General features: G+C 42.0%; 1 protein-coding gene and 1 non-coding gene across 7 annotated transcripts in view; both read right to left on the bottom strand.

The window, feature by feature from the left end:
* ANTXR1 (ANTXR cell adhesion molecule 1) overlaps nt 1–17,926 on the bottom strand; it is a 236,184-nt gene that overhangs the window by 130,001 nt on the left and 88,257 nt on the right. For all 6 annotated transcript variants that reach the window (NM_053034.2, NM_018153.3, XM_017005077.3 and 3 more), the window contains exon 10: nt 16,387–16,485. In NM_053034.2, coding sequence (NP_444262.1) covers nt 16,387–16,485 — 99 coding nt within the window. The remainder of the gene's footprint in view (nt 1–16,386; nt 16,486–17,926) is intronic.
* Nucleotides 15,572–15,645, bottom strand: MIR3126 (microRNA 3126). Its single transcript, NR_036073.1, has one exon. It is a non-coding gene; the product is annotated as a microRNA 3126 (primary transcript).

The following is a 17,926-nucleotide window of genomic DNA, read 5'->3' as shown; positions in this document are numbered from 1 at the left end:
CTCTGGCTGCCTTCTGTGGGGAGAGCTGGGTCACGCCGAGGAGAGCATCCGAGGCAGCGCACTGCAGCGCCACAGCCAGGGAGACTCCAGGCTGGCATGCCCTGCTCCTGGGTTAGCGCCTGGCCTCACTTCCGGCTGCCTCTGGACAACTCCTCTCTCCTTCCTCCATCCCAACTGGAAAGGAGTGAGAGGATGAGTGTGGCCCAGGCCAGGCAGACATTTCTCACTTTCCCCCTCCTTTCCTTTTCCTTTTCTGCTTGGGAGACCAAATATTTCTGGAGCAAAACAGAGGAAAATCTCACTGGGAGGCCTGCAAAGGCTTCGCTGAGGCTGTGGAAGACCTTCCTCCATCCGAGTGTATCAGCCTCCCAGGCTGTGGGCCTGCTCTGTGGAGCTGGCATTTTCTGCTCCGAGAGGATTGTTTGGTTTGGAGCCTGTTTTCATTTTACCACAAAAATGAGTGACTTTTTTCTCTCTCTCTCTAAACAAAGGAGGGCCATTTGGTTTCCATAACTCAGGTCATCTGACTCCTTCCTGGAACTCCATTTGGGAGGCAGGGCACAAAGCCTTCCTTGCTGCACCTCGGCCGTGCCACGTTTGGCCCCAGGGCCGTGCCAGCCTCGCTGCAGCGTGTGCCAAAGCCAGTGGTGTCGTGACATATGTGGGGCCGCGATCCACTCCTAGGACAGCCGAGGCCCCTGCTGGTCCACCCTCTAGGTGGCCATTTCGCTGCTCACTAGCACCGGGTGGGCAGGGAAAATGAAGGCCAGGAGCTCGGACTGGCCCACTTGGCTTTTGTTTGCAACTGGGGAGAAAATTAGGGAGGGGTGGGAGTTTGAAATCAGACATTCAATGAAAATTTTATTTTTATGTTTAAATTTTTGTTATTTTCTTTTGAGACAGGGTCTCCCTCTGCTGCCCAGGCTGCCGTGCAGTGGTGCAATCACGGCTCACTGCAGCCTCAATCTTCTGTGCTTTAAGTGATCCCCCTACCTTGTCCCCCTCACCCACCCCACCCTAGTCACTGCATCACAGGAGTGCAGTGCCACACCTGGCTAATTAAATTTTTTTTTTTTTTTTGTAGAGACAAGGTCCCCTATGTTGCCCAGGCAGCTCTGGAACTCCTGGGCTCAAACTATCTGCCTGCTTCAGCCTCCCAAAATGCTGGGATTACAGGTGTGAGCCACTGGGCCTAGCCAAATGTAATTCTTAGATGATCTTGAAATATAAATTTCTTTTGTCCATTACCAAAGATATTTTAGAATTCTGTGTGTACCTATGACATAGGTTTACCCAAGGCATCTGTCTATAGGAGTCTGACAAGCTTGATAAGGATTTGGGGATTTATCAGGATTTGGGGGCCAATGAGTATCATTATCTCAGAGTGCTAAACGCCCCAGACTTGGGAGCTAGGCATCCCTCAAGCTGCATACCGAGGGGACAGAGAGGGGCAGAGGATATTTCAGATCACACCGACTCAAATCTGAGCCCTTTTCTTACTAGTGTGTGACTAGGGACACACATTCTCCATCTATAAACAGTGGTGATGACATTGTGTGGGGAGTCAATAATATCGCATTCAAGTACAAAGCATGATACTTAGCACTTGAGCATTCAGTAGATGTTATTCTTCTTTATTACATGGGCCTCCACACCTTTAAAATAGACTACATGGATGTATGGTTTAAAATCAGAGGGATTAAACATTAAAATGTTCAAAATGCCTGATTGCTTAATGATATCACTTTACCAAATTAACATCTTTGTAGACATCAGGAATTAATAGGGAAATGAAAAGCTTTAGTGAATTTGTGTGTGTGTATAGATACACACACATATACACATATGCATATCTATACACACAGGTGCATGCATGTTGATTTTTTCTAACATCATATACCCACGATCTCATTTGATGCTTCTACAACCCTCTGAGAGAGAGATTATTTACATTTTGAGAAACTGAGAGTCAGAAGGGTTAGTTAATTGAGTTAGTGCTGCACCACTTGTGAGTGTCAGAGCCGGAATTCAAACCCAAGTTTTGTTGAAATAGCTTGCCCAGTGTAAGCCCAGCTAGTCTTATAATGTAGCTGGAAGCACACCAGGAGCTGAGGCTCTTCATATTGACAGCTCTGGAGGCACATGGCCAAGATCTTCAATGGGCAAGGCTGGATACCAACAGGAGCTTGCCTTCCAGGAGAGGGGTCTAGGGATGAAGAGCTTGAAGAAAAGGTTCAGGTGTCTTTTGAGAGGCCCTGGTCATGCCAACTAGAATGAAGCCATGCTCTGGAACCATACACTCATAAGTGTATATTTACAGGTTTAGACCTTGGGACAATGTAATCCTTTTCAGACTGGCAAAGAAGAAAGTTCCCAGAATTCTTCCCTGCAGTTTGGTGGCTCATGGATCTGGGATAAAACCAGGGTTGAAATTCATTAGCCAATTCAAACACCAATCAGAGAAAATCCTTTTTATAAGGGTGGATTAAATAATCCAAATACTTTTCAAGTCTTGGCAATCTTTTCTTGTTATAAATATTTATTTCTGGCAAATAGGAAGAGAAAAATAATCCCTAGTCTTATGGAGGCAGCGGGAGGGTGTGTTAGAACCCTCCAAAGCTGATGTAAGCCCGAAGCAGAGCTTACATTCCCATAGTGACATTCACATTAGGTAGTGGGAAAAACAGTGGAGGTTAGGGACTGAAATGAGCTCGCCTTGCTGTTTCTCCTAGTGTCCCTTGGGTCTAGGGAGCATTTTCAGGGCATTCCAGAGCCAAATATAACTGTTCAGCACCAAATTATCAGCTGGTTTGGGAATGTGTCTCCAAATGATGGAACAACAGACAGGCCGGAGTTAGGCTGAATATTTCTACCTCCTCACTGCCTCCAAAAGTAACCAGCCTGAAAAAAGTTAGACTTGTAAAATACTGTGGAAAAATCTGTAATAAAATTATATTCAGCAGGACTCCAAGTTGGTGAAATTCAAAGAATCCGGGCTGAGCTTTCTGGAGCTCCAAAGAGAATGGAGATGACTGATTGCCCAACTGGGGCTGCCTCATTGATAATTCACAAATGTGTGTTAGGGGGGTCTTATTACAAAGCAAAATGGGAGCCATTGCTGAGAGTAGAAAGGAATGTACTATGTGTCAGGCCCTGGGCTAGAAGGTTTTCAGAGATGAGTGAGATAACAAGCTTTTGATAGAAGACATTAAACTCTAGAAAAAGAGATTTTGAAAGTGGAGAGAATGGCTTTTACTTGGACAGGCTGAACAGTGGTTGAGAAGTCAAGGAGAAATGAGAAGATTCAAAGCCGAATGGGAATGGATGGCAGTGAAATGTAGGTTGGTTGGGCCAAGTTGGGAAACATCCTCAGAATGAGTATACCCACTGTAATGTCCTCTTATCTTGGGCTAAAGCCAGAGGGATGCCTTTAAAGTGGCAGAACCAAGCTGGCCACCATCCTTTTCCTTAGACATGGCCCATACCCTCGCTCACAACTCACCTTTTCCCTGACCTGGTATTGTTACAGGGTTTCCTTGGAAGCCCTCCCTGGCTAGTTGCCATGAGATCAGGGGATGGGCTTGGCCAACACATTCCAGGTAAGTTTCCTGGGTCTGTAGCTATTTTACCAGTTCCTATATTCTATAGATACCCAGGACATGTCTTTTGATTTCCCATTCTGTTCTCTGAGGAAGGCTGGAGTAGAATGGAGAACACTAAGAGCCTGGACTCTGGAGACCCAACACAGCCTTGCCACTAACTGGCTATGTCACCATGGGCAAGGTTTTTCACTCTATTCATAACTCAAAATTGTCATCTATAATATGGGAGTAATACTTCATAGGCTTTTGTAAATTTTATTGAGAAGATATCATTTAATGCTTAGCACTTAATAAGCACTCAACATATAACTGTCATTACTAAGATGGGGCACTGTTGGGGTCATCGACTGAGGCACCTGCAAAACACAAGTTGTGGATGTGTGCACAAACTGAGTGAGTCTTGCAACCTGTCTGTTAGGTTGTATCAGGGCTTTACAATATTGGTGTGATAAGAAGCAAGTTACTTATCTAAATAGGATCTTTGGACATGAATATAGTGCAGTGTTCTCAAATGGGGGTTGATTTTGCCCCTCAAGGGGCAACTAGCAATGCCTGAGCAGTTTTGGTTACTGCAACTGGGGGAGGAATGCTATTGGCATCTAGTGGGTAGAGACCAGGGATGGTGCTGAACATCCTCCAATGCACAGGACAGGCCCCTCCCCACTCCCCAGCTATAAATTATCCAGCCCAAAATGTCAGTAGTGTTGAGGTTAGAAAACCTGGCGTAATGTCTACCATGGCTTTATATGCTTCTTTAGCCCAATGTAGAGGGGCCTACAGATATAACTCTGTAGTTCATGCCTGCAGGGTACTGGTGTAATGCCCAGAAAAGTTTAGAGGTGATGGGTAGAAAAGGGAGGAGGTAACAGCTAGAGAGGCATTGAAAGACCAGTCCTGGTTGGAGTAAGAGAATGTCTCTTGATAAAGCCCTCCTTGCAGGCTTGAATGGGTCCAGGTTTTCTTAGGGGTAGATGGAATTGCATCTGAGCCACTCTGCCTGGTGGAGCTTTATAATGTAAATGGGGCACTCCAGCAATGGGCCTTATATTGCCGCCAAGGCTCTGACATGACATGGATGGGGGTGCTGTAGAGTCAGAACACCTTACATACAAATACCAATACAGGACTCAGAGCTGTGGGCAGTCTTGGAAGGAAATGAAGTGGGTTATTATTGTTACTGTGTTCATGAGGATCAAGATTACATTATAGCCCCAGATGGAGAGGAAGTAAAAGGTGAGGGACCATGAGTCCATTCCCAGAGGAGTGCAGGCCCAGGGTCTAGCAGCCCTGCAGATATCTGGATTGTCTGTTGGGCTACACACCCCAAGTTCTGCACAAGGTTGTGACCTCACAGCTCTGGGCACACCAGCATTGAGAACTGTTTGTCAGCACAGCTGGTCTGCCTTCTCAGGATGTAAATTATTATCTACCCATATGTGTTGTTATTTGTATTAATCACAAAGTAATACATATTAGTATAAAAGCCTGGGGAATACAGAGAAGTATATAAAAAAGAAATTAAAATCCTTGATAATCTCAACTTCCAGTGGTAAAATTAATGTCTTGGGAAATACTATTTCAGAATTTTTCCATGCATATTACTTTTAACATAATTGAGATTACATATAATTCTGTGGCATTTGGCATTTATCTGAAGTTAATAGGGTAGTTTTAGGCAGTACAAGGAAATGAAATGAAGCTAATGGGGTTCAGCGTTCTTGCAAAGTATTTTCTCCTCTCAATAAATCCACACCCAAAACAATTCTTGACTGTTGACATTTATAGAACTTACAAATTATCTTCTAAGTAAAGCATCAGCTTTTTAAGATTTTGTAATCCTGAGGTCAGAATAACTGCAGCACTTAAAACAGCTATAACTTGCTAAGAATACAAATATTTGCAAAGCTTTGTTTTCACTTGGTAGAGGATAATTCAGGATTCATGCACAAGGTATGTGTCTCCTGACACACGAACCCTTGTGGCAGTATACAAATTTGGAATAATTTTACCTTTGGAATTGGAACTGAGTGGCAAGTCTACCAAAATGGCTAAAGCCTTCCACACACTCATGGCCACGGGTTATGGCAAATGCTGACTGCTCTTAAAGGACACAAATTTACAGAGAAACTCAGAGGAGAGGTGGGAAGGAGAACTTGGGCACACACTTGGGCCACTAAAGTGCTGTGGGATGCTTGCTGGCTGCCAGAGCTGAATGGCATGGGGGACAGAGCCACCAGGAGCACTTTCTTCCTTTCCCTCAGCAGTACCCAACTTCTCTCAATGGATGTTGAACAAATATTTAAAGAATGTCAGTTTGAAGGGACACAGACTATTAGCCTGCCTGGGGTTCCAGGAGTATGGCCTGTCTCTGAGTTAATCACCTTCTCTTCCATCATCCTACTGAAATGGCAGAGGAGCAGTATTGCATGGGGAAGGGCAGCATCCACCTGCTGGTCACCTTACATGAAAACTGAGCCATGGGGTGCAGAAATAGAGGGGGATGCCAACTTACCCCCGCAGGACAGCAGGACTAGGGGGAAGGTGGGTTTCAGAGAAGTTCACAAGCAAATCTCTCCCAGACATGCATAAAACAAATGCAGCACATGCCTGGAGTCCTCGTGGAGCTCACGATTTTCACGTGGAGTCAATTTCAAACTTGGTAGAGCAGGGGAAACATCAAGGATGACTGTCCACCAGGGACTGGTGCAGCTAACTTTGGACTGTGTCAACTCACCCCCAGAATAAACTCTTTTACTCCCAACTGAAAACCTTGCCACCTAGTTACCTCTGGTGGCGACTTCCCTTTTGTCCCCCAACCATTCTAGATTATGGCAGTAAATTTCAACGTATCTGTATTTTTCTAGAACTGAAAGATGGGAACATCCACTAACACAGTCTCTGCAGGAGCCACTTCAAAAATCAGTGGGCAAAGACCAGAGTTCTGTCTGAAAGAGGGCCAAAGGGGAAACACCACCAGATACACAAAATGCTCCTGAAGTTCAAGAAAAAGGGCCACTCGGGGAATGAGGAGAGGTGCCTTAACTGTGGTCACACAGCCAGCTGCAGACACTGACACCCTAATGCCTGGGGTTCTTCCTACCCTGGTCGGGGGCTTTTTCTCTTGATCTTAGGTTCAAGTCTTGACTTCTCTACTAATGTGTCCTGTGACCTTTGGCAAGGAGTTACATCTCTCTGATCTGCGATTATCTTTCTGCAAAATGAGGGGGATCTATTGAAATCAGCATCTCTGAATCAGGCACACATCTGTCACCTGGGCATTTGGAGTCAGTGGTCCCAGGGATCTTTGGGGATCTGTGTCTTGGAGGCAATGTAGGGAAGCAGTCTAAAGCCTTTGGAGTCCGACTGCCCAGGTTCAAGTCCTTTCCACCCCTGCCAACTGCGCGAACTTGGGCACTTCATCTCTCTGAGTTCATCAGCAAAATGGGGATTCAAATAACTCCTCCCTCTTTGGGCTGCGGTGATGATGAAATGAGATAATACAGGAGGGTGCTTGGCCCAGCACCTGGTGCAGAGTAGGTACTCAACAATCAGTAGCTGCTATCACTTGGCGGAAGCTCCCTGGTGATTCTGATGGGCATCCCCATGAAGAACATGAGACTGTACGCTCCTTTACGTCTCTTCATTCTGAGTTACACAAAATGGCATTTCATCACCTTCACATGATATAAAATCCCTAGGGATGTATCGAGATTGCGTTAAGTGCCTTTGACCAACATATGGCAAGACTCTAACCCATAACAAAGGAAACAATAGGCTTTTTTTTGGGAAGTTTATGTTCTCCTGCCCTCGATCCTCCCTCCCCATCTGCACTTTAATGATCTCCTTAGGGTGCCCACAGCAGCCCTGGAGCCCAGGTGTTTTCTAAGATGAAGTTTAGTTTCTGGAAAATTGGGCATGTTTTTGAAAACAACACCCTCTGGAACGTCTACGTTCGAATGAGTGTTGTCTCTCTTCCCCCTAGGAAGTTGAGCCCCCTCCTCAGAACTCCTAGAACTGCCTTCCTGACCGATGTTCAGTTTGGGGAAATATGTTCAAATGGGACAAAGCTTTATCCTTTGAGAGTGTGCAAAAGTAAACCAGAGCCATGCCTGGTGAATAGGATTGAAAATCAAGTTGAGAAATAAAATTTTGCATCAAAAAATAAAGTGTGCCTATAATATAATGAATCTGATTTCTCACATGGCCTATAAACTCAATTTTAGTGAGTTTGTTAAAAATCAGTTTCTTTTGTTTATAGTCATACCTCATGCATCTCCATGCAACACTAGGATAGTCTAGCATGTTTTTCATTATTGCATTAGTAAAACATCCATTTTTAATTTACAGTGCATAAAATGGATCACTTCTCAGCTCATACTCCAGTGTCTCCTTTTTAGCATTTGAATCTCTCTGAAAGTGGATCTCCAGTTGAAAGTGGATCTTTTCTTGGCACAGTACACTGAATACTAAAGGAGGAAAAAGTGCGGCCAGAGTAAATACAGTTTGTGTGAAGATTTCCAAGATATTTTCTTGGCCAGCAGAGTTCAGCCTGGTGACTGAGGAACTAACCAAATGTTAAACTTAAGATGTATTCTAGACCTCAATAGTTAGCAAGAATTTAAAAATTAAGTTTTAAATCAATTTTGTGGGTTCTTTTCTGATTACGTCAGGGACATATGATCCCAGAGAACTTAGAAAACACAGATAGATGGAAAGAAGAAAGCAAAAATTAATAGTGGTTTCATTCAGAGGTGATGGCTGTTAACATTTTGATGAGTATCTTTCCAGTCTCTGTCTGCATATAAATATGTGTGTTTAAAAAACAAAAATAGTGTCAGTGTATTGTTTTGTAACTTTTTTTTTGAGACGGAGTCTTGCTCTGTCGCCCGGGCTGGAATGCAGTGGCCCAATCTTGGCTCACTGCAAGCTCTGCCTCTCAGGTTCACGCCATTCTCCTGCCTCAGCCTCCCGAGTAGCTGGGACTACAGGTGCGCACCACCATGCCTGGCTGAATTTTTTTCTATTTTTAGTGGAGACGGGGTTTCACCGTGTTAGCCAGGATGGTCTCCATCTCCGGAGACCTTGTGATCCGCCCGCCTCCGCCTCCCAAAGTGCTGGGATTACAGGCGTGAGCCACCGCGCCCGGCCTGTTTTGTAACTTATTTATTTATTTATTTTTGCCATATTATTAACATTCCCCACTCCCCACATCAGTAATTATTCTTCTACAACATTGTTTAATTATTTAGGGGTGAAGTATAACTTATCTAACAGATTACCTATTGTCAGACATTTAGGTTGTTACCATTTAGATGTTTTTCTTTTCCCTCTCTCCCTCATTCCCTTTGTTCTTTCCATTTTTTCTTTTGCTATTATAAACAATACTGTGATGAATATCCTTGTGGCCAAGTCTTTGTAAACATTCCCAGTCACCTTCTTTTGATGAAGCTGAAATTGAAATTCTGGGTCAAAATGTATAAAAGCAGTTGACTCATTTAAAAAATTTCCTTCCTAACGATTTAATGGTCTCTCACTGATGATGAATGAAAACACCTGTTTTCCTACAGGTTTTCCAAGACTGCGTGTTGTAGTTTTGTTAATCTTTGTCAGTCTGACAAAGTAAAAATGGCAATTGATTATTTCAATTTGCATTTTCTTGGTTATATGAAACATTTTCTATATGCTTATTAATCATTATTTTCTTAAAAATTTCCTTTGCATATCTTTTACTCACTGATATATTCACCTTTTTTTAACCGATTTTAGGAATTGTCTTTATACTAAGTTTATTGACCCTATGTTTGTTATATATCCTATTTTTCCAGTTTTATTTCTTGTTTGTTTTATTGTAGTAGGGTTTAACAAGAGAATTTAAAAATATGCACTCAAACATTCAAATTTTTCTTTCATGGTATGCTCCTTCATGTTTAACACATCCTTCCCACCTGGAAGATTATATACATTTTTTTGTTTCCCTCTAGAATTTTTACAGCTTCATGTCCCATTAAAAGTTTTCCTTCATCTGGAATTTGTTTGGATGAAAGGTGTGAGATTAAAAATGAACTTAACTGTTTTTCCAAGTGGTTGGCCAGTTGTCTCAACATCATTTTTTGAATAACCCACTCTTTCCCTACAGATTTGAAAGGCTGCCTTATTTTATACTAAATTCACCTAAGTGTTTGGTTCTGTTTATGGGCTTTGTTCCAAAGCTCAGTTCGCCTACTGTGGTGTGATCATACATTGTTCCAATTACTGCAGCGTTTTTATAAATCTTAAAATCGGCCAGGGCGAGTTTCCACATTTTTCTTGGCTATTCTTGTGTGTTTATTCTTCCACATAAACTTCAGATTATTTTGTTAACTTAAAAAGTCCCCTTGGAATTTTCATTTGGATTGTAATAAAAGTAGATATTAAGATGAAGACAATTGATATCTTTACAATACTCAGTTACTGCTCCATTTAATAACAGTGACGATGATATGGTAGTACCAGCAGCCAACACTGACTGACTCTTAACTGTGCATCGGGCCCCATTTTAAGCCCTGCCTGCCACATTTAAACCTCATAACAACCCAAGACATAGTATGGCTATTATTGCCATACTCATTTTACAGAGAGAGAAACTGAGGCATGGAGATGTTAAATAAGACGTCACAGTCGCACAGCTAGATACGACAGAGCCAGAACTCTTTTTCCCTGGTGGTCTGGCTCCAGAGCTTGTAACTATGCCATAAGTCTATGGCTTTCTAACTCTTCACACTTGCTTTATATCCCTCAGAAAGTTTTGTGACTTTCATCATATATGTCTTTACAAATTTGATTAAATTAGTTCTTGTTACATTTTATTTGTCTGCCCGTCAGTGATAGACTGGATAAAGAAAATGTATATATACACCGTGGAATACTGTGCAGCTATAGAAAAGAACGAGATCATGTCCTTTGCAGGAACATGGTTGGAGCTAGGGGCCATTATCCTTAGCAAACTAATGCAGGAAGAGAAAACCAAATACTGCATGCTCTCACTTGTAAGTGGGAGCTAAATGATGAGAACACATGGACACAGAAGGGAATAACACACACTGGGGCCTACTAGAGGGTGGAGGGTGAGAGGAGAGAGAAGATCAGGAAAAATAACTAATGGGTACTAGGCTTAATACCTGGGTGATGAAACAACCTGTACAACAAATCCCCATGACACAAGTTTACTTATGTAAGAAACCTGCACTTGTCCCGCTGAACTTAAAATGAAAGTTAAATAAAAGAATTTATTTGTTGTTGCTATATTTTTCTTGTGATATTTTCTAATGGTCGTTGCTGAACACTGGCAAAGCTACTGATTGTTATAAGCAAGGTATTTATTTTGAAGTCATCCAACTTAATTACCCTCTCGGTAGCCTAGTAGTTCTGTTCACTCTCTAGTTTTCCAGGAAGACACAAGCATTATTTTAGAGCAATGACGTTTGGCTGCTTTTCCTGTATTTATATCTATTATCAGATTTCTGGTGTTATTATAATGTTCATGGCATTGTCTAATATGGTAGTCACTAGCCATTGTGGCTATTTACATTTAAGTTAATAAAAATTAAATGAAATTACTAATTCAGTTCCTCAATTGCACTAGCCACATTTCAAATGCCCAGCAGCCACATGTGGCTTGTGGCTACCATCTTAGAACACTTCCATCATTACAGAAAGTTCTATTGGACAGTGCTGCTAGAACTTTCAGATCAATATTAGATAATAGTGGTGAAATGGATTGTCCTGCTTTTTTTCTTCTGAACTTTAAAGTGAATTCCTCTACATAGTGATTTATTATTAGAATGATGTTGAGTTTTGAATTCAGATATGTAGATACATTTTTATGTTAAAGAAGTCTTATCCTATTCCTAGTTTACTAGAAATATATTTTTAAAATTAGGAACAGATAATGAATTTTAATATCTTCTTGGCATCAGTAACTTTTGCTATATGAGGAACAAATTCCCCCTCTGTCTTCAAAGTTGTCTTAGCTATCTTGGTCCTTTTTAAATACATTGCTGGATTTTGTTTGCCAATATTTGATTTAGATGTTTGTCATCAGCGAGCTTGATCTCAAATATTGTCTACTTTTAGTGCCTTTGTCCAGTTTTTTTTTTTAAACCAAGATTATGTTATTATCATAGAATGAATTTATATGCTTTTTCTTGGCTGGGTGTGGCGGCCCACACCTGTAATTCCAGCATTTTGGGAGGCTGAGGTGGGTAGATAGCTTGAGCCCAGGAGTTCGAGACCAGCCTGGGCAACATGGTGAAACCTTGTCTCTACAAAAAATACAAAAATTAGCCAGGTGTGGTGGCTCACATCTGTGGTCCTAGCTACTCAGGAAGCTAAGGTGGGAGGATCGCTTGAGCCTGGGAGGCAGAGGTTACAGTGAGCAGAGATTGTGCCACTGCACTCCAGTCTGGGTGACAGAGCCAGACCCTGTCTCAAAAAAAACCACACAAAACAAAACGTTTTCTTTATATCTTTCCTCTGGAACAGTACATATCTGATATGGGTCATTTGTCCCTTAAAACTTGATAAAACTTGGGTGAAAAAAATCTGGATGTGGTGCTTTCGTTCGGGGGGGGGATGAAATTTCCTCAAATTCCCTTCTCGTTCATATATTTCCTGTTCATCTGTGTCTAATCACACTGTTTAATCCATCCATGAAGTTTTATTTCAGTGAATAAACTTTTTCAAATCTAGAATTTATACTCAGTTCTTCTGCAAATCTGCTTTTGATGAGTATTCTTTCCCCTATGATCTGTTTCATGTCTTCACACATTTTAAACACATTTATTTTCCATTCTCTTTCAGATTGGCTCTCTGATCCTCTCTTCTTGTTTGTTCTGTTTGTTTCATTCATCTTGACATGGTTTGTCATTTTGTGCCATCAGCCCACCTTTAGGGGGTTGTTTGCTGCAGGCATGCTGTGGGGCTGGGCTATGTGGAAGACTCCCACAGGGTGAAGGTGCATGGCCTCTGTAGGGCCACAGAGATCAGGAAGATCACGGACACATTTTGGGGCTAGTTTCTTGACTTGGTGCTTCTGTATCACATGGGTGGTGTAACATCATTACACCTGTGGATTTTCATCCCCTGCCTGCTTCCTTGCCCAATTAAATGATTGGTGTATCCTGCTGGAGCCTGATTTCTGCAGGGGGCTCTGTTTTTGTGTGATGCCTTGGCACAGACCTGAGATCTGGTGTCCTGTATCTGCATCAGCATCGGGGTCACAGCCCGCAGCCTGGCCTGGAGCCCCTGTGACTTTGTTTCTTACTTAGGTTTTTATTCCCATTTTGTTTCCTATACTTGGAGATTCCCACTTCTTTCCTTTGAGTGAGGCCACACAATGTAATTTTAAAAATCATATTTCATCCAGATTTTTGGATCTATTTTGTTGACCACAAATCTAGAAACTGTCTTGGATTTCTAAGTGGTTGATTTTTTAAGCAAATGCAAGGAAATTGGGAGAGAAGCATGTATTAACCTATCTTCTGGTTATGCTTATCATCTAAGAATGTGTCTAAACAATTTCTACTTTTGGCATTAATATATTGGCATTTTATCCATGTCTTAGCATGATCAATTTGCAAAGTTGTTCACAGTCATTTAAAAAAGTATTATATGCCCTACCTATATCTTTAGAGCATAAAGATATATGCTCTATATCTCTAACTTTTAAATTAAGTTTTAAGACTTGAAAAATCATATTAATATCTCCCACTATCCATATCATTTTTAATTTGTTCTTTTGACAGATTTTGCTTCATATAGCTTGCTATTGCATTATTTGCTGAAGATCCTGAGGTCTGCCTCATGTTTGAAGTGGCTAGAGCCACACAGCCTTAGCTTCATTATTGGGCCTTCAATTAAGTCTTTCTCATTAATAATGGCACTTATGTTCTCTTTTTGTCACAAATTCCAATGCAGCACTTAGGAAAAAAAATCTTGAAAAAAGAAATATGTGATATAAAAATAAAAACAGATAACATTTTAAAACTTGGGGTATAGAGGTGGGGAAGGAAAATGGGAAAGGTAAAGGAATCTAAGTGTATTTTATTTTACAGGGAGGAATCAGTAGAAACTATGACATTTATAAAGTTGACAGAAAAATGTAGATCTAAACGTGCTGCATTTTAGAATTTGTTCATCTTTTCTACCTCCACAGGTTCTTGTTCATATTATTTTCTCCATGGAAATGAACAGGTGAATTACTAACTAAAGGCCAAGTGTTTTCCTCAAACGCTATTTTTCCCCTTAGAATATTTTTAATAGCTGTATGCTTGAGTTTTGGGGTGTTGCTTGCAGCATAGAATATGATCAAATCACTGCCTTCATCTTCTCCAAACTTAGTATTGTGCTAAAGGCACGGGTTTGTGATTTAAGCCAAATCCCTACCCCAACAACCTCCATTTCTTTTTGAATATGAATGAGGTGACAAGCCTGTGCATATGTTTGCAACTATATATTAGGAAAGGAAGAAAGGAGAGAGAGGGATGGACTGGTTTCCCAAGAAAGAAATAAAATTTCCCAAAGAAGTTGGAAAATAGGCCTTCGAGTACTCACTTGACAAATCCATAGTGAGTTTGCATTTCATCTTCTTCCTATTATTATTTGGATGGGGTCTCACTCTGTCACCCAGGCTGGAGTGCAGTGGCATGATCTCAGTTCACTGCAACCTCTGCCTCCTGGCCTCAAGTGATCCTTCAGCCTCAGGCTCCAGAGTAGCTGGGGACCACAGGTGTGCACCACCACGCCCAGTTAATTTTTTGTATTTTTGGTAGAGACAAGGTTTCACCATGTTGCCCAGGCTGGTCTCGAACTCCTGAGCTCAGGCCATACACCCACCTCAGCCTCCCAAAGTGCTGGGATTACAGGCGTGAGCCACCGTGCCTGGCCACATCTTATTTAATACAGCATCTTGTGTAACCTTTGAGCAACGGCACATAGGGTAGATTCTCTCTCTCCCCAGCCCACTTCCATGTATCTTCAGAGAGCTTGGGCCTGAAAGCCTGCTTGTTTGGGAAGTCTTCTTTGGAAGGTATTGATGTCTTTGAGTTAAACCTTCAGGAGTTTCTGATGTTAGACTTGGGATTTTGGTTAAAGAGAAAAGGGGGACTTAAGTGACATCACAATTGACAGGGAGAAAAAAGAAAGAACTCTGCTGGGGGCACACGTCCAACTTTCACACTGTGACTACTCAGGGATATTTCAGAATGTTTTCAAATAGCACGTACTTTTTGGATCTGTGAGAGCATTTCCAAATATTAAGAAAACTAACCGAATGTTTCTAATGTTTGGAATTACTCCAAGGCCAGGAATTCCAGATGTTTGTGAGGAAGACACAGCATGTGTCTGTTTAACTACTAAAGTGGGTTTTATGATGTCAAGAAGGAAATATCCATAGCCCTTCAATTCTTCTTCTTTAAAAACAAGATAACCTCCTTCAAAAGGCTATGAGGAGCTGGGTGTGGTGGCTCACACCTGTAATCCCAGCACTTTGGGAAGCCGAGGCGGGTGGATCATGTGAGGTCAGGAGTTCGAGACCAGCCTGGCCAACATGATGAAACCCATCTCTACTAAAAATACAAAAAATTAGCTGGGTGTAGTGATGCACACCTGTAATCCTAGCTACTCAGGAGGCTGAGGCAGGAGAATCGCTTCAACTTGGGAGGCGGAGGTTGCAGTGAGCTGAGATCGTGCCATTGTACTCCAGCCTGGACAACAGAAGCAAAACTCAGTCTCCAAAAAAAAAAAAAAAATAGGCTATCAGGAGGAGAAAACTAGTGTGAGTGATTAGTCAACAAATGTGTGTCCTCCTGTCCTCCTTGCTCTCTTTACCTCTCAGGGCTGTTGTAGCAAAAAGATGTGAAGCATTTAGAAGGTACATAGCATTACAGAAAATGCAGTATATTATGACAGTTATCACTGCAGATGTGGAATAAATAATTATCTGTGTGACGGATGCCAGATGCAAATCATAACCAGTGCTTCTGGCATCTGTCCCTCATATAATCATCTTCCCCATCTCTCCTGGTCAACCACATGAATCACGTACATCTTTAAATTAGGAACTTGACTGCTACAAATGTCTTGTGAAGAAGCCAATGTTATGATAATTCATTTTTTCTCATGAAATGCACTTAGTTTTACTCCATATTCCTGTATTTCATGTAAGATATTCACCACGATGAGAGTTTCTTGGCTACTCCACGCAAGAATCATCCAGATTGAAAAAAGCTGCAGAATCTACATGTGCAAGCCTAATGGTTTGGTTTTCGGTTTATTCAAGATTAATGCATTTAGACCATTCCTTTTTCACACTTACCCTTAAGAGTCCCAATACTTTGTTAAGGAGGCTCATGTTTCTGCAGTCCTAATTAACCATCACCAGCACTCCCACCTGAGAGTGAGCCACTCGGTAGATGGCAGGGGACAAGGAAACCAGTGCCCCGCTGCTTCCGGAGGGCTGCTGCAGGGCTGGGGCTTGTGGCTCTGTGTTTTGTGGAGGACGGGGACTCAAGTCCAGCCTTGCTCTGCTTACCAAGCTGGACACCCATGGGGCTGTGCCCACCCAAGTGGTGCCTTTTCTGACTGGAACCACTGTAAGGGCTCACTATGCCCTTGCTGGGGGTCTTTCCAGCAAATAAGACTCTTTTCTGCTGGTTTCATGTGTGTGGCCTTGCTGGAAGACAAGGGTGGGAATTCCCTTCCTTGAAGCCACTTGTCGAAGAAACCCATGGACTCTGCAAGGACTTACTGAGTGTGACCGAGTCATTGATCTTGAAGCTGCAGAGGACCCTGTCCACGTTGCGGGCATGTCGGAAGCCGTTTCCTCTCACGACAACTTGAAATGACTCTGAAATAAAGAATAATGACGAGACTCGTTACTTGGCCAATAACCTTAAGCTTCGCATCTGCCCTGATTTAGAGCATTTGTTCACTATTTCACCAGGCTTAAAATATTCAAAAATTAATTTAGGTTGAACACCAAAAGCAACCAGGTGGGTTCCTTTCACTACTTACCAGTGCATCCTCACTAGGTGTCCCAAGAAGGGCCTATCACTTCTTATTTGAATTCCCACCCTTTTACCTTTGGGCTTACTGGTCCTCCTAACGCAGAACACCTTCCTCCCTCCTCTCTGTCCATTCAAATCTTAGCCAGTTTTCAAATCCAGGCAGTTTGAAAATCTGTGATCTCAGTAGCCGGAGGGAGCCACAGGGGAGGGGTCCTCCACTTCCTCTTTAATCAACTCACCTCCTCTGTGTCTGTTTTGCACATTGTACTCCCCTGAAAGGATTTCTTAAGAGCCCACGGTGCCTACATTTTAGAAAGTCACTGCCTTAGGGCATTCACAGCTAGTCCTGAACAATGTAGGACTGTCATTATGTATGGTCTGGTGGTGTTCTCTTGTCTTTTCTTCCCCAGCTGGAGAAACATTCCTTTAGGTCAGGAGTTGTTTGATACCACTATGGCATTCCTATCTCTACTGGGCACACAGTAACAGTACATAGGCTAGGTAGGAATAATTGTACTTAGGAATGAATCAAAGTCTTTCTTAGCAGTGGTCAGTTGCCAAGCACTACCTACTTGAATTGATATCAGCCCCTCAGTGTAGTACTCATTTGTCTCTGCATAGAAGAGATCATATATCTTGCCTGGCCTGCATATTAATTTCTCATTGGCATAATGTATGTTTGATTAATGCACATGAATAAAATCGTTATTAAGTAAAAACAACTCTCCTTTACCATACTCCTACCATGGAAAAAACCCAATAATTAGTTGGCTAAATGTTTGGGAATATTTGCTTAAGTTTGTTGGTATCTAATGGTCAGTGTTCCACTTTATTTCACTTTTATCATCCTTTTGTATCTAAAAATTGGGGCTCGGGATAATGCTATGTGGCATATCACAAGAGAAATAGACTGAAGGTCAGAGGAAAAAATGCAATGTTTGTGAATATGGATCTTACACAGTACATTGCCATCTAAATGTAGACTTGTTGTTGGAGGAATAATGAAATTAGAGAATTAGTATATGGGACTCTCGAAGCTTAATAAATGTCATGAGTATATGCCACCTTCAGTCCCAGGAAACTAATTTAGAGGCCATGTTTGCCAAGACAATAATAACTAATGCTAATTGCTCCCTCAATGTGAGCCAGGCCCTCTGTGAAATATTGTACATGTCTGATGTCATTTAAACCTCACCACAGCCTGGGGAGGTACAGATGAGACAACTGATCTTAGTGAAGTTAAGTAATGTGTCCAAGATCACACAGCTGGTAACTTGTCAG

Source organism: Homo sapiens, chromosome 2 (assembly GCF_000001405.40).
Source record: "Homo sapiens chromosome 2, GRCh38.p14 Primary Assembly".
NCBI classification, from domain to species: Eukaryota; Metazoa; Chordata; class Mammalia; order Primates; family Hominidae; genus Homo; species Homo sapiens.
This window is presented reverse-complemented; position numbering and strand designations above follow the sequence as displayed.